The sequence below is a fragment of the Homo sapiens genome, chromosome 16 (genome assembly GCF_000001405.40).
Source record: "Homo sapiens chromosome 16, GRCh38.p14 Primary Assembly".
Classification (NCBI taxonomy): Eukaryota; Metazoa; Chordata; class Mammalia; order Primates; family Hominidae; genus Homo; species Homo sapiens.
In genome coordinates, this window is record NC_000016.10 from 2,454,033 (window position 1) to 2,479,012 (window position 24,980).

General features: G+C 61.8%; 4 protein-coding genes, 2 long non-coding RNA genes and 1 other non-coding gene across 12 annotated transcripts in view, besides 16 other annotated features; 5 read left to right on the forward strand and 2 right to left on the reverse strand.

The window, feature by feature from the left end:
- Positions 1-4,822, forward strand: part of CCNF (cyclin F) — a 29,408-nt gene extending 24,586 nt beyond the window's left edge. For both annotated transcript variants that reach the window (NM_001761.3, NM_001323538.2), the window contains 2 exons: positions 1,363-1,532; positions 2,513-4,822. In NM_001761.3, coding sequence (NP_001752.2) covers positions 1,363-1,532; positions 2,513-2,988 — 646 coding nt within the window. In that variant the 3' untranslated portion in view covers positions 2,989-4,822. The remainder of the gene's footprint in view (positions 1-1,362; positions 1,533-2,512) is intronic.
- LOC105371050 (uncharacterized) lies at positions 2,034-5,946 on the reverse strand. Its single transcript, NR_188689.1, has 5 exons — positions 5,882-5,946; positions 5,681-5,804; positions 4,778-4,922; positions 2,802-2,934; positions 2,034-2,553 (listed from the first exon to the last, which is right to left on the reverse strand). It is a non-coding gene; the product is annotated as an uncharacterized LOC105371050 (long non-coding RNA).
- Positions 4,551-5,365: an enhancer, noted in NCBI's record as "H3K4me1 hESC enhancer chr16:2508584-2509398 (GRCh37/hg19 assembly coordinates)". NCBI's record gives its function as "activates a minimal SCP1, AML or CMV promoter by ChIP-STARR-seq in naive H9 embryonic stem cells {active_cell/tissue: H9 hESC(naive)}" and the evidence as "EXISTENCE:reporter gene assay evidence [ECO:0000049][PMID:30033119]".
- Positions 5,596-5,685: an enhancer, noted in NCBI's record as "active region_10267". NCBI's record gives its function as "activates an Ori minimal core promoter by ATAC-STARR-seq in GM12878 lymphoblastoid cells {active_cell/tissue: GM12878}" and the evidence as "EXISTENCE:reporter gene assay evidence [ECO:0000049][PMID:35858748]".
- Positions 6,066-6,415: a silencer, noted in NCBI's record as "silent region_7046". NCBI's record gives its function as "represses an Ori minimal core promoter by ATAC-STARR-seq in GM12878 lymphoblastoid cells {active_cell/tissue: GM12878}" and the evidence as "EXISTENCE:reporter gene assay evidence [ECO:0000049][PMID:35858748]".
- TEDC2 (tubulin epsilon and delta complex 2) lies at positions 6,077-10,931 on the forward strand. Of its 2 annotated transcripts, NM_025108.3 has the most exons (10): positions 6,077-6,138; positions 6,251-6,349; positions 6,591-6,661; positions 6,784-7,192; positions 7,715-7,768; positions 8,117-8,207; positions 8,383-8,494; positions 8,599-8,700; positions 10,007-10,197; positions 10,490-10,931. In NM_025108.3, exons 1-10 carry the CDS (start codon positions 6,113-6,115, stop codon positions 10,634-10,636), a joined length of 1,302 nt encoding a protein of 433 aa, NP_079384.2. In that variant the 5' UTR covers positions 6,077-6,112; the 3' UTR covers positions 10,637-10,931. The 2 variants fall into 2 exon arrangements, with proteins under 2 accessions (NP_079384.2, XP_011520969.1); XM_011522667.2 differs by lacking the exon at positions 6,251-6,349.
- On the forward strand, positions 9,935-10,006 carry MIR6768 (microRNA 6768). Its single transcript, NR_106826.1, has one exon. It is a non-coding gene; the product is annotated as a microRNA 6768 (primary transcript).
- TEDC2-AS1 (TEDC2 antisense RNA 1) lies at positions 10,918-14,181 on the reverse strand. Its single transcript, NR_135198.1, has one exon. It is a non-coding gene; the product is annotated as a TEDC2 antisense RNA 1 (long non-coding RNA).
- Positions 13,630-13,679: a silencer, noted in NCBI's record as "silent region_7047". NCBI's record gives its function as "represses an Ori minimal core promoter by ATAC-STARR-seq in GM12878 lymphoblastoid cells {active_cell/tissue: GM12878}" and the evidence as "EXISTENCE:reporter gene assay evidence [ECO:0000049][PMID:35858748]".
- Positions 13,740-14,079: a silencer, noted in NCBI's record as "silent region_7048". NCBI's record gives its function as "represses an Ori minimal core promoter by ATAC-STARR-seq in GM12878 lymphoblastoid cells {active_cell/tissue: GM12878}" and the evidence as "EXISTENCE:reporter gene assay evidence [ECO:0000049][PMID:35858748]".
- Positions 14,090-14,139: a silencer, noted in NCBI's record as "silent region_7049". NCBI's record gives its function as "represses an Ori minimal core promoter by ATAC-STARR-seq in GM12878 lymphoblastoid cells {active_cell/tissue: GM12878}" and the evidence as "EXISTENCE:reporter gene assay evidence [ECO:0000049][PMID:35858748]".
- Positions 14,587-15,130: an enhancer, noted in NCBI's record as "H3K27ac-H3K4me1 hESC enhancer chr16:2518620-2519163 (GRCh37/hg19 assembly coordinates)". NCBI's record gives its function as "activates a minimal SCP1, AML or CMV promoter by ChIP-STARR-seq in naive H9 embryonic stem cells {active_cell/tissue: H9 hESC(naive)}" and the evidence as "EXISTENCE:reporter gene assay evidence [ECO:0000049][PMID:30033119]".
- Positions 14,587-15,229: a biological region, named in NCBI's record as "H3K27ac-H3K4me1 hESC enhancer GRCh37_chr16:2518620-2519163".
- Positions 15,090-15,229: an enhancer, noted in NCBI's record as "active region_10268". NCBI's record gives its function as "activates an Ori minimal core promoter by ATAC-STARR-seq in GM12878 lymphoblastoid cells {active_cell/tissue: GM12878}" and the evidence as "EXISTENCE:reporter gene assay evidence [ECO:0000049][PMID:35858748]".
- Positions 15,390-15,469: an enhancer, noted in NCBI's record as "active region_10269". NCBI's record gives its function as "activates an Ori minimal core promoter by ATAC-STARR-seq in GM12878 lymphoblastoid cells {active_cell/tissue: GM12878}" and the evidence as "EXISTENCE:reporter gene assay evidence [ECO:0000049][PMID:35858748]".
- On the forward strand, positions 17,265-20,113 carry NTN3 (netrin 3). Its single transcript, NM_006181.3, has 6 exons — positions 17,265-18,597; positions 18,669-18,857; positions 18,953-19,102; positions 19,236-19,286; positions 19,397-19,471; positions 19,724-20,113. Exons 1-6 carry the CDS (start codon positions 17,670-17,672, stop codon positions 20,071-20,073), a joined length of 1,743 nt encoding a protein of 580 aa, NP_006172.1. The 5' UTR covers positions 17,265-17,669; the 3' UTR covers positions 20,074-20,113.
- Positions 17,403-17,542: a silencer, noted in NCBI's record as "silent region_7050". NCBI's record gives its function as "represses an Ori minimal core promoter by ATAC-STARR-seq in GM12878 lymphoblastoid cells {active_cell/tissue: GM12878}" and the evidence as "EXISTENCE:reporter gene assay evidence [ECO:0000049][PMID:35858748]".
- Positions 19,697-19,846: a silencer, noted in NCBI's record as "silent region_7051". NCBI's record gives its function as "represses an Ori minimal core promoter by ATAC-STARR-seq in GM12878 lymphoblastoid cells {active_cell/tissue: GM12878}" and the evidence as "EXISTENCE:reporter gene assay evidence [ECO:0000049][PMID:35858748]".
- Positions 19,917-19,976: a silencer, noted in NCBI's record as "silent region_7052". NCBI's record gives its function as "represses an Ori minimal core promoter by ATAC-STARR-seq in GM12878 lymphoblastoid cells {active_cell/tissue: GM12878}" and the evidence as "EXISTENCE:reporter gene assay evidence [ECO:0000049][PMID:35858748]".
- Positions 20,037-20,306: a silencer, noted in NCBI's record as "silent region_7053". NCBI's record gives its function as "represses an Ori minimal core promoter by ATAC-STARR-seq in GM12878 lymphoblastoid cells {active_cell/tissue: GM12878}" and the evidence as "EXISTENCE:reporter gene assay evidence [ECO:0000049][PMID:35858748]".
- Positions 20,707-21,196: a silencer, noted in NCBI's record as "silent region_7054". NCBI's record gives its function as "represses an Ori minimal core promoter by ATAC-STARR-seq in GM12878 lymphoblastoid cells {active_cell/tissue: GM12878}" and the evidence as "EXISTENCE:reporter gene assay evidence [ECO:0000049][PMID:35858748]".
- TBC1D24 (TBC1 domain family member 24) overlaps positions 21,095-24,980 on the forward strand; it is a 30,604-nt gene continuing 26,718 nt past the window's right edge. For all 4 annotated transcript variants that reach the window (NM_001199107.2, XM_017023493.2, NM_020705.3 and 1 more), the window contains exon 1: positions 21,095-21,138. The gene's annotated coding sequence lies outside the window, so the exon portion shown is untranslated. The remainder of the gene's footprint in view (positions 21,139-24,980) is intronic.
- Positions 21,657-21,856: a silencer, noted in NCBI's record as "silent region_7055". NCBI's record gives its function as "represses an Ori minimal core promoter by ATAC-STARR-seq in GM12878 lymphoblastoid cells {active_cell/tissue: GM12878}" and the evidence as "EXISTENCE:reporter gene assay evidence [ECO:0000049][PMID:35858748]".

The following is a 24,980-nucleotide window of genomic DNA, read 5'->3' on the forward strand; positions in this document are numbered from 1 at the left end:
ACTCCTACTGATTCCACAAGGCCCCGATGAACAGGGCCCTCCCTGTGCTGCTGGCCCTGCGCCGTGACCCCTCAGCACCATGTGCACCAGTAACCTTCCCAAGGGCAGGCACTGGGTGGCTGGGTCTTTCCTGTCAATATAGGACCAGGCAGGGCTGCCTCCAGAAGCGTTGTGTCGGGAGTGGGCTCCTGGCAGGAGACCTCAACTCCTGGGGAGCCCTGGGGAAGCAGCCAAAGCCCCTGCTGCTGCTTCCTCCCCAAGAAGCGTGACAGCACTTTCCATTGTGTGGAAGGCAGGAGACCTGACCCTCCTGTGTCACTCCACACACGCACCGACTCCCTGGGGCCAGGGTCATCACGAGGAAAGTCCATGCAGATACGCACGGCTACTCCAGGAGGGGGCCTGGCCCTGGCCCTGTGCTCAGCCTCGCTGTGTTAAACCCGCTTCTCAGAGGCCCCCCACAGCCCCATCAGTCTTCTGAGACAGACCCCCACGGGTGACACTGGGATAGCTCTCTCCACCCCCCGCCCTCCACCAGGCCCTGGGGTCAGGAAGTGGAAAGGCTCAGCTGGTGTGGCGGCTTTTCCCAGGCTCACGCCCACACACTGGCCTCTAGCCCCATCCTGAGCAAGACTTGACCCCAGTTGGGTGTGGGTGTCAGCACCGCCCAAGGCCAGGCCATTCCATGCAATCTGCCTGGCGCCGGGCTAAGCACTGCCTGCACCTTATTAATCAACACCAGAGGGGCCGGGTGCGGTTGCTCATGCCTGTAATCCCAGCACTTTGGGAGGCCGAGGTGGGCGGATCACCTGAAGTTAGGAGTTCGAGACCAACCTGCCCATCATGGTGAAACCCCGTTTCTACTAAAAATATAAAAATTAGCTGGGTGTGATGGCGGGCACCTGTAGTCCCAGCTACTCAGGAGCCTGAGGCAGGAGACTCACTTGAACCCGGGAGGTGGAGGTTGCAGTGAGCCAAGATCACACCACTGCACTCTAGCCTGGGCGACAGAGCAAGAACACCTCAAAAAAAAAAAAAAAAAAAAAAAAACACTGGAAGGTGGCATCATCCTAGAGGTTTCCAGGGGACCAGATGGTTGGCCCACGCCCCACAGCTGAGCCGGGTGGGCTGGGCTTCACACCCAGACCTGGGGCCTGAGTTTGCCTGAGCTGTCCTCCAGGTTGGCCCTGCCTGAAGGGCTTATACCTGTTCTAGCTTCACCGGCATCTTCTTCGTAGCAGAACCTTTGGGAGCACGTGGTGACAGGCTGGGGCACGCGGGTGTTAGAGGCAGGTGTGGAGGGCCTGGCCTCCCAGCGCCGCCGTCCATGACTGGGTCTCCTGGGCTCTCTCCACCTTGCAGGAAGCGGGAGAACAGCCTCCAGGAAGACAGAGGCAGCTTCGTTACCACCCCCACTGCGGAGCTGTCCAGCCAGGAGGAGACGCTGCTGGGCAGCTTCCTCGACTGGAGCCTGGACTGCTGCTCTGGCTATGAAGGCGACCAGGAGAGTGAGGGCGAGAAGGAGGGCGACGGTGAGTGTGGGGCCAGGGTGCACCAGAAGGGACATCACACAGAGGGTGGCTCTCACCGAGGGCCTCTGGGCACCCGGCCCTGTGCGAGCGCTGTGGGAGGAAGATGTGCACAGAGTGCGGGGTGGGGCCAGCTCCTGCCCCGCCGGGGAGTGTGTCCAGACATGGGGAGAGAGGAGGGGAGAGCCCCCAAAAGACCACAGCTGCTCCCACCACACAGGGATGAGAGGACTTAGGCCACACCTATCCGGCTCCTGCTCATTCCGTGTTGGGAGGACCTCACTAGGATGAGGGAGGCAGAGACCCTGTCTGGAGTTCATGGAGATCCTTCTAGGCCTGTAGTCTCATGCCTGTAATCCCAGCAATTTGAGAGGCTGAGGCAGGAGGATCACTTCAGGCTAGAAGTTCAAGACCAGCCTGGGTGACACAGCAAGACAAAAAATTTAAAAATTAGCTGGGCATCGTGGCGTGCGCCTGTGGTCCCAGCTACTCAGGAGGCTGAGGTGGGAGGATCTCTTGAGCACAGGAGGTGGGAGCTGCAGTGAGCCGTGATCATGCCACTGCACTGTAGCCTGGGCGTTCTTTCTAGAATGTTGTTTGAGGTGTGCCCACGTGGTATACGTGACACTCCTCACTGCCCTGCTGGGATCACTGCCCTGTGCAAACCCCAGGCAGACTGCGGGGTCCTTGCCAGAAGCCCAGTTAGTGTGAGTCCTGTCAGTTTCCCGGTTGCTTGCTTCTGCGTCCACTTGGCTTGAGCTAGATGGCCAACTTGTCATCTCCACATTTGTTGGAGTCATGGCGGGCAGCTGTCCAACTTGGAAGAGGCATGTCACCCACGCTTCTCACCACAGGAGGGTAACACAGGGGACCGTAGCAAGGTAGAAGATTCTTGACCTGGACTTCAGGGTCCTGACCTGGCAGGGGGTCTCCCCTGATGCTTGGGTGTGACATGACTTCCCTCCCCACCAACCTTCCTGCAGTGACAGCTCCCAGCGGCATCCTCGATGTCACCGTGGTCTACCTGAACCCAGAACAGCATTGCTGCCAGGAATCCAGTGATGAGGAGGCTTGTCCAGAGGACAAGGGACCCCAGGACCCACAGGCACTGGCGCTGGACACCCAGATCCCTGCAACCCCTGGACCCAAACCCCTGGTCCGCACCAGCCGGGAGCCAGGGAAGGACGTCACGACCTCAGGGTACTCCTCCGTCAGCACCGCAAGTCCCACAAGCTCCGTGGACGGTGGCTTGGGGGCCCTGCCCCAACCTACCTCAGTGCTGTCCCTGGACAGTGACTCGCACACACAGCCCTGCCACCATCAGGCCAGGAAGTCATGTTTACAGTGTCGTCCCCCAAGTCCCCCGGAGAGCAGTGTTCCCCAGCAACAGGTGAAGCGGATAAACCTATGCATACACAGTGAGGAGGAGGACATGAACCTGGGCCTTGTGAGGCTGTAAGTGTGTCAGCACATTTGCCGCAGTGGATGTGTACTGAGGGGGCTGGAGGCGAAGGGTGGGAGCATAGCATAGGAACGCTGCATAGACCATGGAGGCCTTTGCGCAGAGAGCAGAGAGGATGACTTGCGGCCACCAAGTTTCTGTCTCCGCGGGAGTCCCGTGCAAGCCATCAGAATGTTGAAATGAGGGTGAAGAGCTCAGATCCCTCTCTTTGGAAAGTTTAGCCTGGAAGCAGTTGGCCACACTGTGTGGAGGGCACCTCTCTGTCCCTTCCGTGTCTCACTGTCTCTGGAAGCTTCAGCCCATGTGTGTCCTGGTGTTCCCAGCCCCACCAGAGCCCCGTGCCGGGAGCTGACAGCTTTCACGCTTAAGGCACGTGTGACCTGGGTAGTCAGACACCACTTGAGCCCCTGCCCACATCTGCTGGTTTGGGGCTTCAGTGGGGAGCTGACAGCTGTGAGCACACCACTGTCCCCTCATCCACCTCGGCCTGCATGGGGCACCCACTTCCTTCTGGGTGGGGCTTCCATGGTAAGGGGGCCTGCGTCCCTGCACACTGCGAGGACTGCCTTGGCCACAGGCCCACTCCCTACGACACGTGACTCGTTTTAGAGCTCTGTCCCAGAGGCGTTCGTATGTGACCCACAGATGGCGTCAATGTGAACACCTCTCTTTGTGCTGAATTTCTGGGCCATTCTTTTCCTGTCTTATTTCTAAATTTCCTTCTTCCAAGATGAAAACAAAAGAAAAACTTAAAACAGAAGGTATTAAAAAAACAAGAGATTCCCACCATTATTTAGGTTCACCTGCAAAACAAAAATCTTACTCCAGCCCCTCAATGCCATCCTGACACACTTTATGCAAAAAGAATTTTCCCAGATAGGCTAGCCAGAAAAAACTTCAAGTCCTCTGTAACATCTGAGGTGACCAAGAGGCAGAAGAGCAGAGCAGTCGGGGGCCGTGTCCTGGCTGATCCCAACTGCAGCTCTGCTGTGGGGGCCCGTGGGAGGGAGGCAGACCCCTGGGCTTTCCTGCTGGCCACGGAGACTCTGCTCCTGCATGGAAAGGGAGCCTGGGAGCCAGCAGCCCACGCCTGGGGAGCCTGCCTGGGGCCATGTGACCATGGCCTCTCCCTGGGAACGGGCTGACCACAACACACCCTGCTGCCATCCACTTCTGTTTACTCTGCAAATGTAAGAAAGAACCACTTGGCCAGAAGTGTCCCCCAGATGCTTTTTTTTTTTTTTTTTTGGAGACAGTTTTGCTCTTGTCTCCCCGGCTGGAGTGCAGTGGCATGATCTCAACTCTCAACTCACTGTAACCTCCGCCTCCCGGATACTCCTGCCTCAGCCTCCTGGGTAGCTGGGATTACAAGCACCCAACCACGCCCAGCTAATTTTTGTATTTTCGGTAGAGACGGGATTTCACCATGTTGGCCAGGCTAGTCTCGAACTCATGACCTCAAGTGATCCGCCCACTTCGGTCTCCCAAAGTGCTGGGATTACAGGCATGAGCCACGGCGCCTGGCCCCCAAATGCTCTTGAACCGGAAACCCAGGGATGGGAGATGCTCACTGAGCTGCTGCTTTTATGTGTGCTGGTGCTATGTGTGTTCATGTCCGCGGCAGCTGTCTTTTTGCTACTATAAGGGAATTCTGGCCACCCTGGGTGGGGTGTGGTCGGGGTGAGAACCCAAGCGTTGGAACTGTAGACCCGTCCTGTCGACTGTGTGCCCCTGGGCATGTGTGAGCCTCAGTTTCCTCATCTGTAAGGGGGGCAATGATACCTACCTCACAGGGGTGTTGTGAGGATTAAATGTGAGGAGGATAGTGGCAGATGAGTGATGGACGTCCTTCACTGCCTCGGCCCCTTGTCCAGGGGCTCTTAATCCCAACTCTGCATGGAGTCAGTTCTCTGCTTTCTCCCAGCTTGCACCTGAAGGAGGAAACCACTCCAGGGGGACCTGGCCCCGCCTGCCTGTGGTGGGTGGGTTCCTGCATCACCCACCTGCTGACTGAGCATTTCCCTGCCTCCTCCTTCACAGAGAATCTCCAGGGAGGCAGGGCCACCGTCACCCTCCCCCACCGCTGATGGAGGGGCCCACCCGGAGCGCTGGGCCAGAGCTGCCTGGGTCCCAACCTCCCTGACAACTCCCTTTGTGCCCTCCTTCCCCTCTGCGATGGCACCTTCCCATTAACGACTATGGAATGGACTCACCTGTCCCATCTTTAAACAGCAACCCCAGGCTCTGTTTTTCTTTCAGCTACCGCCTGGGATTTCTTGCCCCCTAATTGTTTATTCTTGTTAACACCAACTACATGGGGCCCTGCTGCCTTCCTCACTTCCTCCCTCAGGTGTCCCCCGCATCACCGAAGGCCCTGTACCCCCGCCCCCCTGCTGTGCTGTGTACACCGCCGAGGCCTCAGCAGCACTTGGCCTGTGACCCACTCCCTCCCGTGACAGCCTCCTGTTGCCTCTGTGACACTGTCCTACTGCTCCTCCACCTCCCTGGCCATTGCGTGGGCCCCGTGATCTGTCCCTACCCGTCCCCTGCCCCACCAGGGGCCACCTCGCCTGGCCCACTGCTCCAAGGTCTGAGCTTCCTCCCCTCTGCCCAGTGCTATCACGTCACATGTCCAAAAGTGAACACTTTCTCCTCCTTCATCCCCGCCCCTGACACGCGGAATCCTCACCTCCAGCAACCCCGTCCTGTCCCTGTGCTCGGTGGCCCAGGCGTCAGCAAGACGGCTGGTCCCTGCGTTAAGAGCACTTTCAATAAGGACAGATGGAGCCTCTCGTATAACCTTCACCGGCCCCCTGCAAGAGAAGCGCGATAATGGCGCCCCCATCTACCCAGTTACCCAAACCAAAATCCCGGCGTCGCCCGCAGTCACCTCCCTGGCGGCCTCGGGGGCCCAGCTCCGAGCCGGAGTCCCCGTCAGACCTGGGAGGCAGGAGTGGGCGGGGCTTGAGGCTTGCCCGCAAGGAGGGAGAGAAAGCTTCGGGGGCGGCCCCTGAGCCCCGGTTCAGGATTGGGCAGCCCGGCCGGGAAGGGGCGGCCTTCCCTCCCGGAAGGGGCGTGGCTCTTCAGAGGCGGCAAATTGCAAGGAGACGCCGCCGCCTTCATGCTGCCGGCGGGCTGCTCGCGCCGGTGAGGCCTGCGCGGCAGGAGGGGGTGGGAGGATGCGGGCGGGCCGGTAGCCAGGCGCGGGGCCCGAGGCCCGACGCTGGCCGAGGTGCTGAGCCGCCGGTGCGTCCCCCAGGCTGGTGGCCGAGCTGCAGGGCGCCCTGGACGCCTGCGCACAGCGACAATTGCAATTGGAGCAGAGCCTGCGCGTTTGCCGTCGGCTGCTGCATGCCTGGTACGCGGACCCCGGACCCACTGGCCAGACCTCCCTCGGGCCCTCAGAGTCCCGCCCCGAGCGCCCAGGGCTGGGAGACCGGGCGCAGCCGCCCACTTCGGAGCTGTGGGTTGTCAGTGCCACCCTCCTTACCCTGCAGGCTCTGAGCTGGGGGCCTGCCGCGGGGCCCGGCGGCCCCCTCGGGTCTGTTTGGGCTGGGCCCTGCCTCCTGGCCGTGCGACGGCTGCCCGTGTCTTTGCAGGGAACCAACTGGGACCCGGGCTTTGAAGCCACCTCCAGGGCCAGAAACTAATGGAGAGGACCCCCTTCCAGGTAAACCTCCACCACCCGCCTTCTCCAGGTGCTGCTCTGGCCTGTCTGCTGGCGTGCAGTTGTGAGGAACCCTCCTGGGGGACAGTGGGGAGAGATCCCTGCATAATTCTTGGCTTTCACAGCATGCACACCCAGTCCACAAGACCTCAAAGAGTTGGAGTTTCTGACCCAGGCACTGGAGAAGGCTGTACGAGTTCGAAGAGGCATCACTAAGGCCGGAGAGAGAGACAAGGCCCCCAGCCTGAAATCTAGGTCCATTGTCACCTCTTCTGGCACGACAGCCTCCGCCCCACCGCATTCCCCAGGCCAAGCTGGTGGCCATGCTTCAGACACGAGACCCACCAAGGGCCTCCGCCAGACCACGGTGCCTGCCAAGGGCCACCCTGAGCGCCGGCTGCTGTCAGTGGGGGATGGGACCCGTGTTGGGATGGGAGCCCGAACCCCCAGGCCTGGGGCGGGCCTCAGGGACCAGCAAATGGCCCCATCCGCTGCTCCTCAGGCCCCAGAAGCCTTCACACTCAAGGAGAAGGGGTAGGTTTCCCGGACCCTCACTGGAGGGACTTCTGTCTCTGCCTCCTCAGACCCTGGCTAGCAAGGAGCCTGGGATTTGGGGTGACAGGGAAGGCAGGGCATCGAGCCCTGTGGCATACCCCTGAGGCTCATGCTCAGAAGCTGGCAGAATGAAGCAGCTGTGTGGTGGTGTCCAGGTTGGCACCATCAGGTCAGGGAAGTACTGGAGCCTGTCCTCCTCTCTTCTCTGTGGCTGTCCCCTTATTTGCCCAGGCCAGAGGCTCCAGATGGGCTCTGGAGGGCGTGGGATCTGCTCACAGGGCCCCGCTCACAGGGCCCCCTCTTCTCTCTAATGGGGCAGCACTGGACGATGCTTCTCCTATGGCCACTCTGGAAGCCCTATCCAAGGGGGCTCATCCTTGGTGGGGTCGGGTGTGGGAGAGGGGCAAGAAGCCTCATCCCTGATTGGGCTCTGAGCAGGAAGTGGGACTTGTAGACCCCAGAGCAAGGCGATGCTCCTCTGAACACGGGCTTCTCCGACAGGCACCTGCTGCGGCTGCCTGCGGCATTCAGGAAAGCAGCTTCCCAGAACTCGAGGTGAGGCTGAGGTCTTTGGCTGGACGGGGGTAGGGGAGAACCGGGAGGCATCACCAGCTCGGGGACAGGTTCGAGATACTTTCCAGTGGGTCTCTTTGTCCTCTTTGCTGAGTGGGATCACTGTCGATGTTAAAAATCTGCCAGCCGGTCAGCTTTGTCCCCTTGTCCTAGTCAGTGTCCTCTTGGTTCCCTGCGGCCTCTGGAGGCCCCTCCTGGCATTCAGCAGAGCCAGACGCCCAGCCTGGGGTCCCCACCCTGGCCCTTGCCTACCTCCCAAGGCCCAGCTTACTGGCTGGAATAACCGTGTCCCTCTGTGGTTCCTCTGTGCACCCCACGTGTGCACCCCAGCCTGTGGGCCCAGCTCAGTTCCACACAGACCAGTGATTCCACGGATGCCGCCGCTGCCAAAACCCAGTTCCTCCAGAACATGCAGACAGCTGTATCCTTGCTGGGCTTGTGGGAGCCCTGGGGGCCTCTAGCTCTGAACCTGGCAGGTTTGCAGAGCAGCCCCAGGAGGGGCTGGCGTGGGATGGCCAGGGCCACTCCCCAGGCCCCGTTCTTGGTGGGAGCAGAGGGGCTTTGGCTGCAGGGAAGTTTTCCTGACCCATATCCAGTCAGGCGGGCCCCAGCCCAGGCTCAGTGCTGTGGAGGTGGAGGCGGAGGCGGGGCGCCTGCGGAAGGCCTGCTCGCTGCTGAGACTGCGCATGAGGGAGGAGCTCTCGGCAGGTCAGTGGGTCCTGGGTCTGTATCAGGAGGAGTGTGGAGGGCCAGTGCAGGGAGGGTTTCCAGACTGCCACGGGCCCCACCTGCTCTCCCTGACTCTTCTGCAGCCCCCATGGACTGGATGCAGGAGTACCGCTGCCTGCTCACGCTGGAGGGGCTGCAGGCCATGGTGGGCCAGTGTCTGCACAGGCTGCAGGAGCTGCGTGCAGGTGAGACCCCGCCCCCACCCTGCCACCTGCACTGAGGTCTGGGCCGGGGACAGGGTGCTTTAGCCAGGCTTGTCTGCGCCTCAGGGAAGGGTGAGCAGCCCAGGGACCAGATGCAAGTTGGTGGGCCCCTCCACCCCTCCCACGCCACTCCCCAGTGTGCTGGGTCCTCACCAGTCGTCCTATGGGAGCAGTCAGCCTTCCTCTCCTCCTCAGGGCAGCTCTCCCACCTCGCTGCTCCCCGCACACAGAACCTCATTGCTCTGAGCAGTTGCTTATTCACCCAGTTGTTGAAAAACTAGCATGTGAGGGCCGGGCGCGGTGGCTCACGCCTGTAATCCCAGCGCTTTGGGAGGCCAAGGCGGGTGGATCATGAGGTCAGGAGATCAAGACCATCCTGGCTAACACGGTGAAACCCTGTCTCTACTAAAAATATAAAAAAGTAGCCAGGCGTGGTGGTGGGCGCCTGTAGTCCCAGCTACTTGGGAGGCTGAGGCAGGAGAATGGCGTGAACCCAGGAGGAGGAGCTTGCAGTGAGCTGAGATTGCGCCACTGCATTCCAGCCTGGGCGACAGAGTGAGATGCCGTCTCAGAAAAAGAAAAAGTAGCGTGTGAGGCCGGGCACAGTGGCTCACGCCTGTAATCCCAGCACTTTGGGAGGCCAAGGCAGGCGGATCATTTGAGGTCAGGAGTTCAAGACCAGCCTGGCCGACATGACGAAAGCCCATCTCTACTAAAAATACAAAAATTAACTGGGTATGATGGCGCACACCTGTAATCCCAGCTACTTGGGAGGCTGAGGCACAAGAATTGCTTGAATCCAGAAGGCAGAGATTGCAGTGAGCTGAGATTGCACCACTGCACTCCAGCCTGGGTGACAGAGTGAGACTCCGTCTCCAAAAAAAAAAAAAAAGAGAAAGTAGCTCGTGAGAATCAGCTCCTGGGAGGTGACTCGCCTGGGATTGCGTGAGGTGGTTATTTATAGAACTTGTTTCCTCCTTTGTATTTTCTAATTGCTTGAAGTTTTAAGAGTGAAGATACATCATTTGTCAAAAGGAAAGACAATCTCATAAAAGTCATGCATAAACACAGTAAAGAAATTAGGCAGGCAGAGGGCCACCCCACAGAGGACTCCCTGCCAGCAAGTCCAGGCCCAAGACACACCATCTTGCATGGGGCTGTCCTGAAAGCCCACCTTTCTCCTAAAGGCAGGGCAGGTGGTGCAGATGCGGGAGGGCCAGGCACACAGGAAAAGCGGGGCCCTGGGTTCGGCTGCTACCCCAAAGGCCACATTCTCCTGTGCACACAGCGGTGGCGGAACAGCCACCAAGACCATGTCCTGTGGGGAGGCCCCCCGGAGCCTCGCCGTCCTGTGGGGGTAGAGCGGAGCCTGCATGGAGCCCCCAGCTGCTTGTCTACTCCAGCACCCAGGAGCTGCAGACCCTGGCGGCCCTCAAGCTGCGAGTGGCTGTGCTGGACCAGCAGATCCACTTGGAAAAGGTGCTTCTGGAAGAGGAGGTGGGGGTGCAACAGAGGTCCGCAGCCTTGAGGACCCGAGGGTAGGGGCTTGACTGCTCCACCCCCCAGGACCCAGGAGGATGGGGGCAAGCCTGGGGTCTGTGTGTGTGGGTTGGGAAGTGCATGGGTCAGACGGGGCTGGGACGGCAGGAGGGAGCCTGGAGCCTCAGAAGGAGGGAGGAGGGCTGAAGCATGGGGGCCTCGAAGCCTGTCCCAGGATTGCCCCCCGCCTAGGTGCCCCTGAGACCTTGGCCCTGCCCTGCCCTGCCCCCAGGTCCTGATGGCTGAACTCCTCCCCCTGGTAAGCGCTGCACAGCCGCAGGGGCCGCCCTGGCTGGCCCTGTGCCGGGCTGTGCACAGCCTGCTCTGCGAGGGAGGAGCACGTGTCCTTACCATCCTGCGGGATGAACCTGCAGTCTGAGCCTTTCCCATGCTGCCCTCGGCCTGTTCAGATGGGGATTGGGGGTGTCTTCCCTGGCACTGTGCTCGGGGACCCAGAGATGCCTGTGCTTCCCTGGGAAACCTGGTGAACTGGACCAGGTGGCCTCACTGGCTCTTCTCAGGACAACTAAGCCTGCTGGTCAGGGCTGGCTTTCAGCCTTCCTAAGGCTCCTGGACTCCAGAGGCCAGCGGGGAGCCTTTCCTGGCTCCCTCTGTTTTCTCTCACTGTAGACCAAAGAGCCGCTTGTGTGATATTAAAGCCACTTTAGAAAGCATTTGTGTTTATTTATGTTTTTGAGACAGTCTCACTCTGTCGCCTAGGCTAGAGTGCAGTGGCGTGATCTCAGCTCACTGCAACCTCCGCTTCTGGGTTCAGGCGATTCTCCTGCCTCAGCCTCCCGAGTAGCTGGGACTACAGGCTTCGGCCACCACGCCTGGCTATTTTTTTTTTTTTTTTTTTTTTTTTTTTTTTAGTAAAGATGGGGTTTCACCATGTGGGCCAGGCTGGTCTCAAACTTTCGACCTCAGGTGATCCTCCCACCTCACCCTCCCAACGTGCTGGGATTATAGGTGTGAGCCACCGTGCCTGGCTGAAAGCATATGTATTTAAATCATGCCAAGGTAGGACTTGGTGAGCCCTTGTTGTTTCTTTATGATTTTATCAAGTTATATCACTGGTTGATACATGTCATGCTGAAAAAGAATATATCAAGTGTATTTATCAAGATTATAAGTGGGCCGGGTGTGGTGGCTCACGCCTGTAATCCCAGCACTTGGGGAGGCTGAAGTGGGAGAATTGCTTGAGGCCAGGAGTTTGAGACCAGTTTGAACAACAGTGAGACCCCATCTCTACACAAAATTTGAAAATGAGCCGGGCATGGCGTGTCTGCCTGTAATCCCAGCTACTTGGGAGGCTAAGGCGGGAGGATCGCTTGAGCCTCGCACTTTGAGCCTGCAGTGAGCCATGATTGCACCACTGTGCTCCAACCTGGGTGACAGAGCGAGACTCTGTCTCGATATCCCTTCTGTATAAAGGACGGGACAAGGCCACTCAAGGCAGGCCCAGCATTGCTGAAAGCCCTGCCCCCTGTAGGCTGTAGGCTGTATGCATTCATCGGAGGACACGAAAACCACAAGGCCATATTGGAGAACAGGCCGGCCACTGTCTCTGCCACAGCCACACGGCTCTGCTTCCCACTGTCTCCTGGTGCCCATGCCCAGCTCCCCCTCCTGGCGCTGGTGCTGGGGCAGGTGTGGGGTCACCGGTTCACACTGAGCCTCCACCAGGAAGGGCCTTTTACCTCTTCACCCTTTAGCCACTCCACTCTCACCTCCTCCAAGCCTCCTTCCCTTCCCCAGGAAGGCAGGAAAGAGCATGGGTCAGGGTTGGGCCCTCTGCAGCCACAGAGGTGTTTGCAACATGACTTGTTTCTTGCCCTGGGACTGGGCAAGATTCTCAAGGAGTCAGCCCCAGTTGTCCAGGTTTGTCCCCACTGTCATGCTGGGTGATGGTGGTGATGACCTCAGGGGCCGGCATAGAGATTACTTGATGTGGCATCTAAAGTGCTGGCCACAGGCTGGGCGTGGTGGCTCACACCTGTAATCCCAACACTTTGGGAGGATGAGGCAGGCAGATCACCTGAGGTCAGGAGTTCATGACCAGCCTGGCCAACATGTTGAAACCCTGTCTCCATTCAAAATATAAAAACTAAAGGCCAGGCACGGGGGCTTATGCCTGTAATCCCGGCACTTTGGGAGGCCAAGGCGGACGGATCATGAAGTCAGGAGATTGAGACCATCCTGGCTAACACGGTGAAACCCCGTCTCTACTAAAAATACAAAAAATTAGCCAGGCTTGGTAGTGCGCATCTGTCATCCCAGTTACTTGGGAGGCTGAGGCAGGAGAATCGCTTGAGCCCAGGAGGTGGAGGTTGCAGTGAGCCGAGATCACACCACTGCACTCCAGCCTGGGTGACAGAGCAAGACTCCGTCTCAAAAAAAAAACCCTGCTGGCCACAGAGGCCGTGGTGTTGGCCATGGCCAGTGCTCGTAGTGTTCTTTAAACGAACCTGCACTGAGGGCCCGAGGCATCCCAGACATTTTGGGAGCTGGGGCCAGGTGCTCTGTGTGGACAGTGCCGGAGCTCCACCAAGCGCTGCTCTGGGCAGGGACCTGCGACAGGGAAGATGACCGGCCTCTTCACCAAGGTGCCCCCCCTGGACAGGGCAGCAGGACAGGAGGTGGATGACACCTGGAGAAAGCCGGGTCTTCTGAGAACCAGATGGAGCGTCGCAGGTAGGTCGTGCTTGTAAAGGGCCTTATAGTCCAGCGGGCCAGAAACACGCTCGGACCCAGAGTCCCAAGTTGAGGGCTGCTGGGGACCAGATGACAGAGACCAAGACAGGAAACCAAAAACCATGGTCCTCGTTGCATTGAGGGGGCGCCTCCAGGGACAGGGCAGCTCCACCCCCTGCCACCGCAGCCTGGCAGCAGCCCCAGGGTCGCACCCCTTGTGCAGATCAGCCAGCCTCGCCCCTCCCGGCAACCCCATTGCTGCCTCCAGGCTTATGCCCAGGTGCCTCTATCTGCAGGAGCCACTGACTCATTTGAAACCCCCAACCACGCTGCGACCGTACACCCCCGTGGCTTTCCAGAGCAGGTGGTCTCTACCTGACGTTATTTCACTGGCTGACTTGGCTCATGGCTCATCCCCCATGCCTACTGGATGTCTGCCTCAGGAGGACAGGGGTGCTATCCCCCCTACCCCGGCCAGGCCCTGATGGGAGCCAGATGTGCACTGACTCAATGATCCACCAATCCCGGGGGCCAACCCAGAGGACAGTGGTGTCCTGGAGCAGGGAGGCGGCCTAGATAGCTTTGTGGGGGTCCTGAGGAGGCCCCAACACAGGAGTCCAGGGCGGGAAAGACAAGCCGCCTCCTCGGACTAACGCCCGCCCACCCCGATTCCCCGCCAAAACCCAGAGGTAGCAGCTGACTCCTCGGGCTCCCGGCTGGCGTCACCGCCTCTGGAGCCAATGGGCTCTGACGTGGCGAGCCTGGAACGCCACTGGGACTGCGCGGGCGTCCACACCACCCACCGAGCGCGGCCACCGCGTTGGCGGCATGAGCGCGCTCGAGCCTCCCCCAGCGGCGCCCGCCTCGCCCCCCGGGCCGGGTCTGGCGCACCCGGAACCCCCCGGGGCCCTGCGCGCCCTGCTCTTGGCCACCGGCGGCGCTGGGGGCTCGTGGCCTCGCTGCATTCTGCCGTTCGGTGCCGTGGCCGTGCTGGCTGGTGCGGCTGCCACGGCCATCACCTTCTCGCTGCGGGGACCCCGCCTGGACCTGGCCCAGGGCTCGTCGCTGGCCGCGCTCAGTGCGGGCCTGGGGCTTCTGACCGCCGCCTTCCTGTGCTGGCGCGCTCGGCGGAGGCGAAGGGCCGGGCGCAGGGAGCCGGGGGCGCCCTGAGCCGCGGGCGAGGCCCCCTCCCATCGAGGTCACCGCGAGCCGGCCGCCCCTCCCTCCAACCTCGCCCCGGCCGGGCGGGCGCAGTGCCAAGCGTGGTCGCAGAGGCCGCCCCCCACACCCCATCCCCAAATCGTTTCTTCTGGAACCCTTTGGGCAGAGAAGGCCACCGGCCGTTTCCCTCCCTCCCTCTCTGCTTTCCCTCTCTTCCCTCCTCCGTCCAACGTCGCATTTCAGCTTTTGACTTGGCGCGCAGAGCTGGCGCGACCGCAGAGCGGCCTGGCTGGGCAGCGGTCTGCGAGGCTGGGGGATCGACCCGGCGCGAGGGTGCTGGGTGCAGGGCAGCGCGACGCGGGCTCGGCCACACCACCCGCCGTTGGGAGCCGGCGCTGTGTCTGCTCCTGGGCTGTCTGCCTTCGGAGCTCGGTTGGAAACCCCCCGAGGCATAATAGGCGCTCGATAAATGTGCAATAGGTGAACATGTGGTGGCTTGCAGGCGTCTGGGGGGAGACAGCAGGTTCTGGGCTGGGCAGGGAATTATTGGATCAACGGGCATCTTACAGGAAAGACTCTCAGCTCCCTGCCGCCTAGGACTGTCCAGCCCATCTATGCCCTCTCCCCAGCCTGTGCCCCAAAGCTGGAGCTGCCACTCTAGGGGTGAGGGGTGGGGTGGGGAGGGGGAGGCGAAGCACTGCGGCCTGAGTTGCAGGTGGGGGGAGGGGAGGCGGAGCTTCTTTGTTGCAGAAGGTGCCAGGAGGGGGCAGGGCCAGTGGAGAGGTGGGAGGTGGGAGAGGCCCCAGCCAGGGGCTGGGACAGGTGGCTGGGTCCCTGGGGAGCAATAAGTCCCGCTTGGGCGCTGTGGGGAGGCCCTTCCTAACTCCCAAACACCATCTGTGAGGGCTGGGGGTGGGGGCAGAGTAGCGTGTGCAGAGGACTGTTCCTGGGGAGAGGCCCTGTGACCAGCGGCCTCCTCCCTGGGGAGCTGGCGGTACAATGGCCCTCTGGGCCCACGGCCTCCCGCCGCTGCTGCTGACCCAGATGAACAATTGGGGCAGGGCTGAGCCCCAGGCACCTACTTTCCCCCACCCCAGAAGCCACCAGACGTTCTGCAGACCCCAGTCCTGGCTCACAGGGAAGCTGAGCTGGAGACAAAGCCAGCCCCTCTGATGAGGGTGGAAGAGGCTGCTGGCCACTGTCCCTCTTGCAGCCTGGCTGGCAGCCAGTCTGGCAGTGGCCCTGACGTCCAGAGACAGCTTGGGTTTCCCCAGAGGCTTGTCTCTGGCCAGTGGGACCCCTCTGTCAGGCCTGGGCTTTTCTCTCCACTGTCCCAGAATGATGATCTCAGCCCCCATAGTCCCCCCAGGGTTCCTCCCACCCTTAGGGTGGGGTGTCGGGGGGTGGGGGTTGGGAGCCAGAAGGACCTTGAAGAGGGTGGTTGGGACGTTTCAGGTTCTAAGCTTGACCCACAGAGCGGAGCGTGAGCCCCGTCAGGTTGAGGTCCCTCAACTTGTAAAGGACACAATTCCCATTCTCTTTATCAGGAAGCTGAGGGGCAGGGGCCCTGTGGCAGAGAGAGAGCCCCTTAGCCCTCTCTGTTCAGTCCTCCGGTGCCCCCATCCCTGTGCATCTGTGGCTGTCACATGCAGATGTGTGGCAAGGAGAAGGTGCCCACCAGCCAGTGTCAGTTGCTCCAGGAGCCAAGCCAGGTGCCCTATCACCCTGTCTTCCCGTTCCTCCCCTCCATGGTCAGGCCCTCCTGCTCCCTCCTCTGGTCCTTCAGTTTCCCCTAGGAGGCTTCCGTGTCCTCCTGCCCCTCCTCTCCCCAACAGCGGGATGCGTCTACCTCTCCATTCTCTTCCTCCTGGTCCTTGCTCATCTCTGGTCGTGTCCAGGGTAGCACCCACGTGGCCTCCTCCACCAGCTGCAGGCCTGGCCTCCCATCTGAAACGGGGCATTCAGGCCTCGATGCTGGCCCTGCACGGAACTTGTTCCCTGCCCCTCCCTGGGATGCTTGGCCTCCTCTGTCAAGGACCTGAAAGTCGGAGGGGAGGAGGTTTCTCTGACCAGAGCTGTTCCTGGACCCTCTTTGGTGGTGTCGCTCCCAGGCACAGCTACCCCATCCCCAGCTAGTCCCCAGGCCACCCAGCTGGGCTTCTGCCTCAGTTTCCCTGCCCAAACGTGCTGTGACGTAGGGCAGTGGGCTCCGGGTTGCGACCAGCCCCTTCCCATGATTAAACCCTACTCCCTGCCCCTGCAGAGGGGTCCTCAACAGCTAACCAAGCCCCCGAACCCCAAGAAGCCACCCCATCCCACCCTCCAGCTTCCATGTCCTCCCTGCCAGCTGGGCCCGTGGCAGAGGTGCCCCTAGAAACTTGCAGACCCAGGGAGCTTTGGGATCAGAATCTGGCCTGGTGCAGGGGATGCTGGCCTCATGTCTTAGCCCAGCTCAGGCCCATGGGGGTGCCCCCCTTCCTCAACATGGGCAGGAGACACTCCAATTTGTGCAGCTCTCGACTTGGGCCTGATGCCACTTGAGACTCATCAAATCCAACAGCTTCAGAGCGCGTGCTGAGTAACAGGCATCTGGCAGGTGAGGAAACAGGAGCCCAAGACATGCAGCCAGAAATGGGGCAGTTGGATTCAAAATTAGACCTGACCGAATCCTGGGTTCCTTCTACTCGAGTAGATGCTGCTTTGGGGATGACCCTTCAACTGGTGGTTACTTGGCTTCCCTACCTGGGGAACATCCAGGGCCTCTGCTGTCAGACCCGGGGCCTTGCCTGCCTGATGGTCTTCAGGGAGGAGGCGACCCAGACCCCCGTCCAGCACGTGGCACAGCCCCAGGAGCAGTAAAGACCTGGCTGTGGGCCCAGGACCCTGCTGGGTGGTCCCCCACGGGCTGCGAAGGCTGAGCTGCCCCCCTCCAGACCCCTCCCGCCAGCGCATTCCTGGCTCCCCGGCCCCTCCCCTGGCTCCCGGGCCTCCCAGCCCCCTTCCCCGCTGGCCCAGCCCGCGTCTGAATCTGCTTCTGATTCCAGCTCTGCGATGAGGCCCCCTCCCCTCCCCTGCCTCCTTCCCGACCCGAGCAGCCCCGCCCCCGGCTGGGCCCGGGCTTGCGCCTGCTGCGCCCCCCACCCCCTCCTGGCACAGCTCGTCCGCCCTCGCTGCAGCCGGGAGGAGGCGGCGGCCCGTGCACCGCAGGCCCCGCCCGCCCACGGCCCTTCCCGGGAGGCCGGGAGACCTGCTCCGCCCGGCCCTCGGTGGGTGAGTGCGAGCGGCGGGTGGGGCCTCCGCGGGCGGAGGCACCGGGAGCGGGGGCGACGCCTGTCATCGCTCTAGGCCCAGCGGGAGGACGCGCCAACATCCCCGCTGCTGTGCTGGGCCCGGGGCGTGCCCGCCGCTGCTCCCACCTCTGGGCCGGGCTGGGGCCGCCCGGGGGCCCTGTTCCTCGGCATTGCGGGCCTGGTGGGCAGAGCCGCGGAGAGGGCTTCTTTTCCCCAAGGGCAGCGTCTTGGGGCCCGGCCACTGGCTGACCCGCAGCGGCTCCGGCCATGCCTGGCTGGCCCTGGGGGCTGCTGCTGACGGCAGGCACGCTCTTCGCCGCCCTGAGTCCTGGGCCGCCGGCGCCCGCCGACCCCTGCCACGATGAGGGGGGTGCGCCCCGCGGCTGCGTGCCAGGACTGGTGAACGCCGCCCTGGGCCGCGAGGTGCTGGCTTCCAGCACGTGCGGGCGGCCGGCCACTCGGGCCTGCGACGCCTCCGACCCGCGACGGGCACACTCCCCCGCCCTCCTTACTTCCCCAGGGGGCACGGCCAGCCCTCTGTGCTGGCGCTCGGAGTCCCTGCCTCGGGCGCCCCTCAACGTGACTCTCACGGTGCCCCTGGGCAAGGCTTTTGAGCTGGTCTTCGTGAGCCTGCGCTTCTGCTCAGCTCCCCCAGCCTCCGTGGCCCTGCTCAAGTCTCAGGACCATGGCCGCAGCTGGGCCCCGCTGGGCTTCTTCTCCTCCCACTGTGACCTGGACTATGGCCGTCTGCCTGCCCCTGCCAATGGCCCAGCTGGCCCAGGGCCTGAGGCCCTGTGCTTCCCCGCACCCCTGGCCCAGCCTGATGGCAGCGGCCTTCTGGCCTTCAGCATGCAGGACAGCAGCCCCCCAGGCCTGGACCTGGACAGCAGCCCAGTGCTCCAAGACTGGGTGACCGCCACCGACGTCCGTGTAGTGCTCACAAGGCCTAGCACGGCAGGTGACCCCAGGGACATGGAGGCCGTCGTCCCTTACTCCTACGCAGCCACCGACCTCCAGGTGGGCGGGCGCTGCAAGTGCAATGGACATGCCTCACGGTGCCTGCTGGACACACAGGGCCACCTGATCTGCGACTGTCGGCATGGCACCGAGGGCCCTGACTGCGGCCGCTGCAAGCCCTTCTACTGCGACAGGCCATGGCAGCGGGCCACTGCCCGGGAATCCCACGCCTGCCTCGGTGAGGCCTTGGAGGGTGGCCTGGGGACCTTGGACACAACCAGCCTGCCCCTGACCCATCCCTCCCTGCAGCTTGCTCCTGCAACGGCCATGCCCGCCGCTGCCGCTTCAACATGGAGCTGTACCGACTGTCCGGCCGCCGCAGCGGGGGTGTCTGTCTCAACTGCCGGCACAACACCGCCGGCCGCCACTGCCACTACTGCCGGGAGGGCTTCTATCGAGACCCTGGCCGTGCCCTGAGTGACCGTCGGGCTTGCAGGGGTGAGCCACCACCGGCCACCTGCAGGCCCTCACCCTCTGACTTCCCAGATCCCCAGACAGGCTTCTGACCAGGCCCTTCCCACCTCTGTCCTCAGCCTGCGACTGTCACCCGGTTGGTGCTGCTGGCAAGACCTGCAACCAGACCACAGGCCAGTGTCCCTGCAAGGATGGCGTCACTGGCCTCACCTGCAACCGCTGCGCGCCTGGCTTCCAGCAAAGCCGCTCCCCAGTGGCGCCCTGTGTTAGTGAGTGACCCTGCCCCGCCTCAGCCACCAAGCCAAGGCCACCCCAGCTCCCTGCTGTTGTCCCGTCTATTCCCCGAGCCCTGCAGATCTCTCTGCCCCTCCATCGCAGGCCATTCTCCCTCCCTCTCTGCAGAGACCCCTATCCCTGGACCCACTGAGGACAGCAGCCCTGTGCAGCCCCAGGGTGAGTGGACACAGGACAGGGCCCCAGACTGGCATGACTTTGGGGGAGGGGGCTCTGGGAGGAGAGGGTGGGGAAAGGGAGTCTGTGCCAGCCTCCCACCTTCTACCCAGACTGTGACTCGCACTGCAAACCTGCCCGTGGCAGCTACCGCATCAGCCTAAAGAAGTTCTGCAAGAAGGACTATGGTAGGTGCCCTCAGGCCTCCCGCGGACCTTCCCACCTTCCTCCTCTCCCTACCTTCCCTCCTCCGCCAGCTTCCCCTTGGAACGCCTTGACCCTTGCTGGGCCCCAAGGCCCATCCTCATCCCTCAGGTCCTCCACGGGCAGCGACCCCGCCCCTTCAGCCCCCACTGCCCTCCTGGTGTCCTCCCCGTGCCTCCCCCTACCGCGGGCAGGCCGCCCCTTCCTGACCCCGCCCCCTCTCGCTCTCCCCGCAGCGGTGCAGGTGGCGGTGGGTGCGCGCGGCGAGGCGCGCGGCGCGTGGACACGCTTCCCGGTGGCGGTGCTCGCCGTGTTCCGGAGCGGAGAGGAGCGCGCGCGGCGCGGGAGTAGCGCGCTGTGGGTGCCCGCCGGGGATGCGGCCTGCGGCTGCCCGCGCCTGCTCCCCGGCCGCCGCTACCTCCTGCTGGGGGGCGGGCCTGGAGCCGCGGCTGGGGGCGCGGGGGGCCGGGGGCCCGGGCTCATCGCCGCCCGCGGAAGCCTCGTGCTACCCTGGAGGGACGCGTGGACGCGGCGCCTGCGGAGGCTGCAGCGACGCGAACGGCGGGGGCGCTGCAGCGCCGCCTGAGCCCGCCGGCTGGGCAGGGCGGCCGCTGCTCCCACATCTAGGCGCACGTTCACCCTGTGCCTTCGCCTGCCAAGGAGTCCTTGCTCGCGTCGCGCGTGTCGCCACCTGGGCCGCCGCCCCGTCCCCGCCGGCAGCTCCCTCGGTACCTCCCGTCTGGCCCTGGGGGGATGTGACCGGCGCAGCGACAGCCCGCCCCGCACAGAGGCAGATGATATGGCACACCCGGAGGACCCCATGGTCTCCCGCCCTCTGGCTGTCGGCCCTGTCCCAGGGGCACTGGGATACCCGGAAGGCTGTGAATCCTTCGTGATGCCGGGCCCTCTCGGGGATCTCAGATCATCCCCGGGGCCGCTGTGATGCACCCCCACCTGTGCGGCGACCCGCCAGGGAGCGCACTGACCTCCCCAAAGACTGTGGCCACCGCAGGCGCCTTGGACCCCCATGGGGGGACAGGGCGTCCCCTGCCTCCTGCAGCCCCACGAGGGCGGCGGCCTTGGCCCCTGCGGGCTGGGCGTCCGCGTCCGGGCGCCCCGCGGCGTCTGCTGCCGGGTCCCGTAACTTTCTTGGCCGCCTGTGTCCCCGTCTGCCGGCTCCGTCCGGCCGTCCCTCTCTCTGCCGCGTCTCTGACCCTCGGCGCCACAGCTCCTCAGCTCAGGGCCCGTCCCAGAACCTCCTTCCAGCCCTTCTCCCCCGACTCGGGAAGGGACGTCGTGCCCACGCGGTTCCGGATCCACGCGTGACCCGGCCGGACCGCGACTCCGACAGGCGGCTGTCCGGGCCCCCGATGCCCTCGGCAGGGCCGTGCCACCCCCCGCCCCCCTTGGCTTGTCCCCCCGGGACCGCACTGCCGTTGCCTCCTCTCCGCACGGGACCGGTTCCCGGCCGGCCCCAGCTTCCGCCGCTGCGGCCGCCGACCGTCAGCGCGCATGCCCAGAGCCGGGCAGGCCGGAGCCCCGCGGGCTCTCCGGGGTGGGCACAGGGCGACAGCTCGGCGGGGGCGGGGCCGAGCACGCGCGTGCGCAGAAAGGCCGGCGCGGCAGGCTGAGGAGAAAGCGGCGCGCGGAGGTGGGTGCGCTCGGGGCGTGCGGGGGGCGCGCGGCGGGGTGGCGGGTGGCGGGGCCGGGTCCCCGCTGTCACCGCGGTCGGCGCGTGCTGGGGGCGGGAGCGTGGGGGCCGGGCTGCGGGCCCCATTCGAGGCGGGGATCCCCGGCCACGCGCGGGTTGGGGGCTCCAGAGCCCGGCACCGCCCGGCGCTGCAGCTGCGGCTTGGCCTACGGGAGGGGGCGCAGGAGCGGGACCCCCTGGGCGCGAGGCCCGATCCCCGCCCGGTCGCTGGCCCGCGGCCCGGCCCAGGGCATGGTGTCGTCTGGAAGAGTGACTGTGTCACTGTTTCCTTGGGGCGCTTTCCGTCTCCGCAGGGTCGGAAATCCTCTTGGGGGCTCGGTGAGATTGCAACAGATTCTGATACGCCCTGCCCTGTGGACCTGCAGCGGCCCCGGGCCCCGCCCCGCCCCGCCCAGGGATGACACACGCCCCCACCGACCACCCGCTTGGGGGTCCGCCAGCCCCCGGCCCTGTCCAGTGGGGGGCCCCTCTGGGTGCGCCGTGCCAGGCGGCCGCTGTCCTTCGGGCCCTGGGAGGTGGAAGCCAGGGACTCCCAGCCCTGAGCCAGCACAGCGGAGGGGAGAGCCGGCCCCACCTGGGCTGGGCTGCACCTGTTCCCGCCCCCTCCAGGCGGGAGTCCCCGCGGCCTGGCCACAGGCCTTCTTTGATGGCCGTGCCCCGCAGGGAAACGCGCTGTGGCCCCCGGGTTACTGCTTGCGGGGGTGATATTAAAGGTCAAAGGTTGTCTAAAAGCCACCTGGGTGGTGTGGAGGTGCAGGTGGGCTGTTAGGTTGGTGGCTGTGGTTGTGAAGCCGATGTCACTGTCTTTACCCAGCAGCTTATTCCAGAAAGGGGGCGTCAGCCTGCCCTTCCAGTGCCGATAGAAGCACTAGCGGGTGATTTTTCCCTGTTTTGCTGTGTTTGCTCTGGAGTCACCAGGTGACTTCCAGGCAGTGTGCAGAAGGAACCGTCCCATTATTTGGCACGTGGGCCGTTTCCTCCACCCGAGGTCCAGGGCTCCGTCTTCACAGTCTGTCCTCAGCACACAGTAGGCACCTGTAGATGGCACACGTGGCGTTTCCTCCGCCCGAGGGCCAGGGCTCTGTCTTCAGCACACAGTAGGCACCTGTAAATGTTTGCTCAGTTGCGGCGAAGACAAGCAGTCAGGTTCTTTTCATTTTAAGGAACACACACTGGGAAAAAAAACCAATCCAGATTAGAGAAGATCAGAAAATCTTACGAAGATTTTACAGTTACTGTTCCTAGCCTGTGGCGTGACCCCTGCGTGCACCGCCTTTTATTCTGAGGGTTGATCCTCATCTAATCTGAACACTCAGATAGAGGCTTTACATGGAGGACTTATTGGGGAGTGCTTGCTCTACTTAGAAGCCTGTCTTTCCCTGTGAAGAGGGCGGGAGCCACGCTGTTCATCTTTGCTTCCCCACAGCCTGGCCAGGGCCGGACCAGAGGTTTTCTCTACATGATGGTTGAAGTGGATCAAGGTCCTTTTGTCGGAGTGATAGATGTCAACTATTGCAGTGGCTTTCCACTGGGTTGAGGGTGACCTTCCGAGATGCAGAAGTAATCTAGGCAAGGTTTTCATAACAACAATAAATTTGGCCACCCAGGGTCTGTGAAGTCACCTGTAGGGTAGCCTTACTAGCTCTCGCTGACCACACCTGCCAGGAGTGTCCAGCAGGCTCGAGTGACCTTGGGCATGCAGTGTTGCTCTTAATTATCTACAGATTGAGCCAAGCTCAGAAAACATATTAAATGTTTGCCTTTAGATGGTTTCTGGTTTAAAGTACATAAGGACAATGAAGCAGGTTACAAAAAAAGCACTTAACATTTACCCTGTTCAATGTTTTACCTGTCTGAGCATACCTTTTCTGTTATGACAACTCTGTAAATGGAAGAAAGAAGTCCTTTTCAACTCAAAGCAGCAATTTCAGTGGCTGTTTCAAACATTGCCTTTCAATTGGAGATAAAATCAAAGAAACAAAACCTCAGGCTTTTTACTGAGGACCAACTTGAATTCATTATTCAATGATTTTCTGTATCCTTTCAACATGTGTTTGTTAAGCGAGGTGCGGTGGCTCACGCCTGCAATCCCAACACTTTGGGAGGCTGAGGTGGAAGGATCGCATGAGCCCAGGAGTTCAAGACCACCTTGGGCAACATAGGGAGGTCTCGTCTCTATAAAAAATTAGCCAAGTATGGTGGCATGTGCCTGTGGTCCCAGCTACTTGGGAAGCTGAGGCAGAAGGATCACTTGAGCCTGGGAGCTCAAGACTGCAGTGAGCTGTGATTGTGCCACTGCACTCAAGCCAGGGCAACAGAGTGAGACCCTGTCTCTGAAAAACAAAACAATAAAAATGCATTTATTGAATTCACACTTCATAGGAGGCACCATGCCGTGTGTTCTGTGGATTTGGTGTTAAGACTTGGTCTCTGCCCTTGAGCTTATAGTGCAGTGAGGAGACAGGAGAATAAACACATGGTAGAAGCTCCCACAGAGGTGGACAGAGCCTTCTGTGGGCGCAAAGGCGTGGCATCCAGCTGGATTGTGGTGGGGGTGGGGCTCTGAGATGGACTTGAGCTTCATTTTGAAGGATGATCAGGACCGGCAAGAACAAGTGAGGGAAAGTGCCTTCCCCCGAAGGGACAGTGGATATAAAGTGACAGGCGTGGTTCCTGCCCACCAGCTCTTGGGAGAAGGGCAGTGGTGGCCCCAGGGTAGATGGGGTGAAGTGAGTGAGCTAGGCTGACAGCAGACTGGGAAAAGCCTTGAGTTCCACCTGGGAGTTTGAATTCACCCTGAGTGGCATGAAGCCTCTGAAGATCTTGGGTTTGTGAGTGACTTGATCAGAGGTGGCCAGGGAGGTGAAGAGGCCAAGGCCGGTTGAGGGACTGTCATGGCACACCCAGAGAGACATCAGCACAGAAAAGAGCAAGACTCAGCCAGGCCCGGGGGCTCACACCTGCAAGCCCAGCATTTTGGGAGGCCAAAGCGGGAGGAACACTTGAGCCCAGGAGTTGCAGGCTGCAGTGAGCTATGATTGTTCCACTGCACTCCACCCTGGTCAACTCTGTTTCAGAAGAAAAAAGAGAGCAAGACTCTGAGACAAGTGGTTGCAGGATGGGAAGAGCCAGGGAGGAAGGAGGGGATGTTCCAGTATTGAGCAGCGGGCAGTGCCACACCCCATGCAGAGTGTGGAGGGAGGGGGCGGGCTGGCACCGTGTGGAGATGGCGATGAGGTTACTGCGAGACTGGGCAGTAAGCATATGTGTTTTGGCCTGGAGCCAAGGAGAGTGTACTAGACGAGAGCATTTTGGGGATGCTGTGTGCCATCCAAGCTGGGGACTGGGTTGGGTCTTCCCAGGAGAATGTGCAGAGTGAGAAAAACGAGACGGAATCCTGAACCCTGTGGACTCCTAATACAGTCTTAAAGTCAGTAAGGTAACAGAAGGCCAGTCAGTAACCCGTTGCCTTTTGGGGGAATGGGGCAGGGTAGTGGGCTTTTTTCTTTTTTTTTTTGTTGAGACAGGGTCTCGCTCTTTCTCCTAGTCTGGAGTGCAGTGTCAGGATCAGTGGCTCACTGTAGCCTCGACCTTCTGGACTCAAGCGATCCCCTTGCCTCAGCTTCCCAAATAGCTGGGACGATAGACTTTTTTCTTTTTTTTTTTTTTTCGAGACAGGGTCTCATTCCCACTGCCGAGGCTAGAGTACAATGGAGGGATCATGAGATCATGGCTCACTGCAGCCTCGACCTCTCGGACTCAAGCAGTCTTCCCACCTTAGT

Excerpts from the sequence above, each read along its gene's own strand:
- TEDC2 (NM_025108.3), top strand. The coding sequence starts at position 6,113 with ATGCTGCCGGCGGGCTGCTCGCGCCG. Across the intron at positions 6,662-6,783 it reads TGGAGAGGACCCCCTTCCAG|CATGCACACCCAGTCCACAA; the intron begins GTAAACCTCCAC and ends TGGCTTTCACAG. Across the intron at positions 8,208-8,382 it reads TCCAGAACATGCAGACAGCT|TCAGGCGGGCCCCAGCCCAG; the intron begins GTATCCTTGCTG and ends ACCCATATCCAG.
- NTN3 (NM_006181.3), top strand. The coding sequence starts at position 17,670 with ATGCCTGGCTGGCCCTGGGGGCTGCTGCTGACGGCAGGCACGCTCTTC. Across the intron at positions 18,598-18,668 it reads GGAATCCCACGCCTGCCTCG|CTTGCTCCTGCAACGGCCAT; the intron begins GTGAGGCCTTGG and ends CCCTCCCTGCAG. Across the intron at positions 19,103-19,235 it reads CCCAGTGGCGCCCTGTGTTA|AGACCCCTATCCCTGGACCC; the intron begins GTGAGTGACCCT and ends CCCTCTCTGCAG.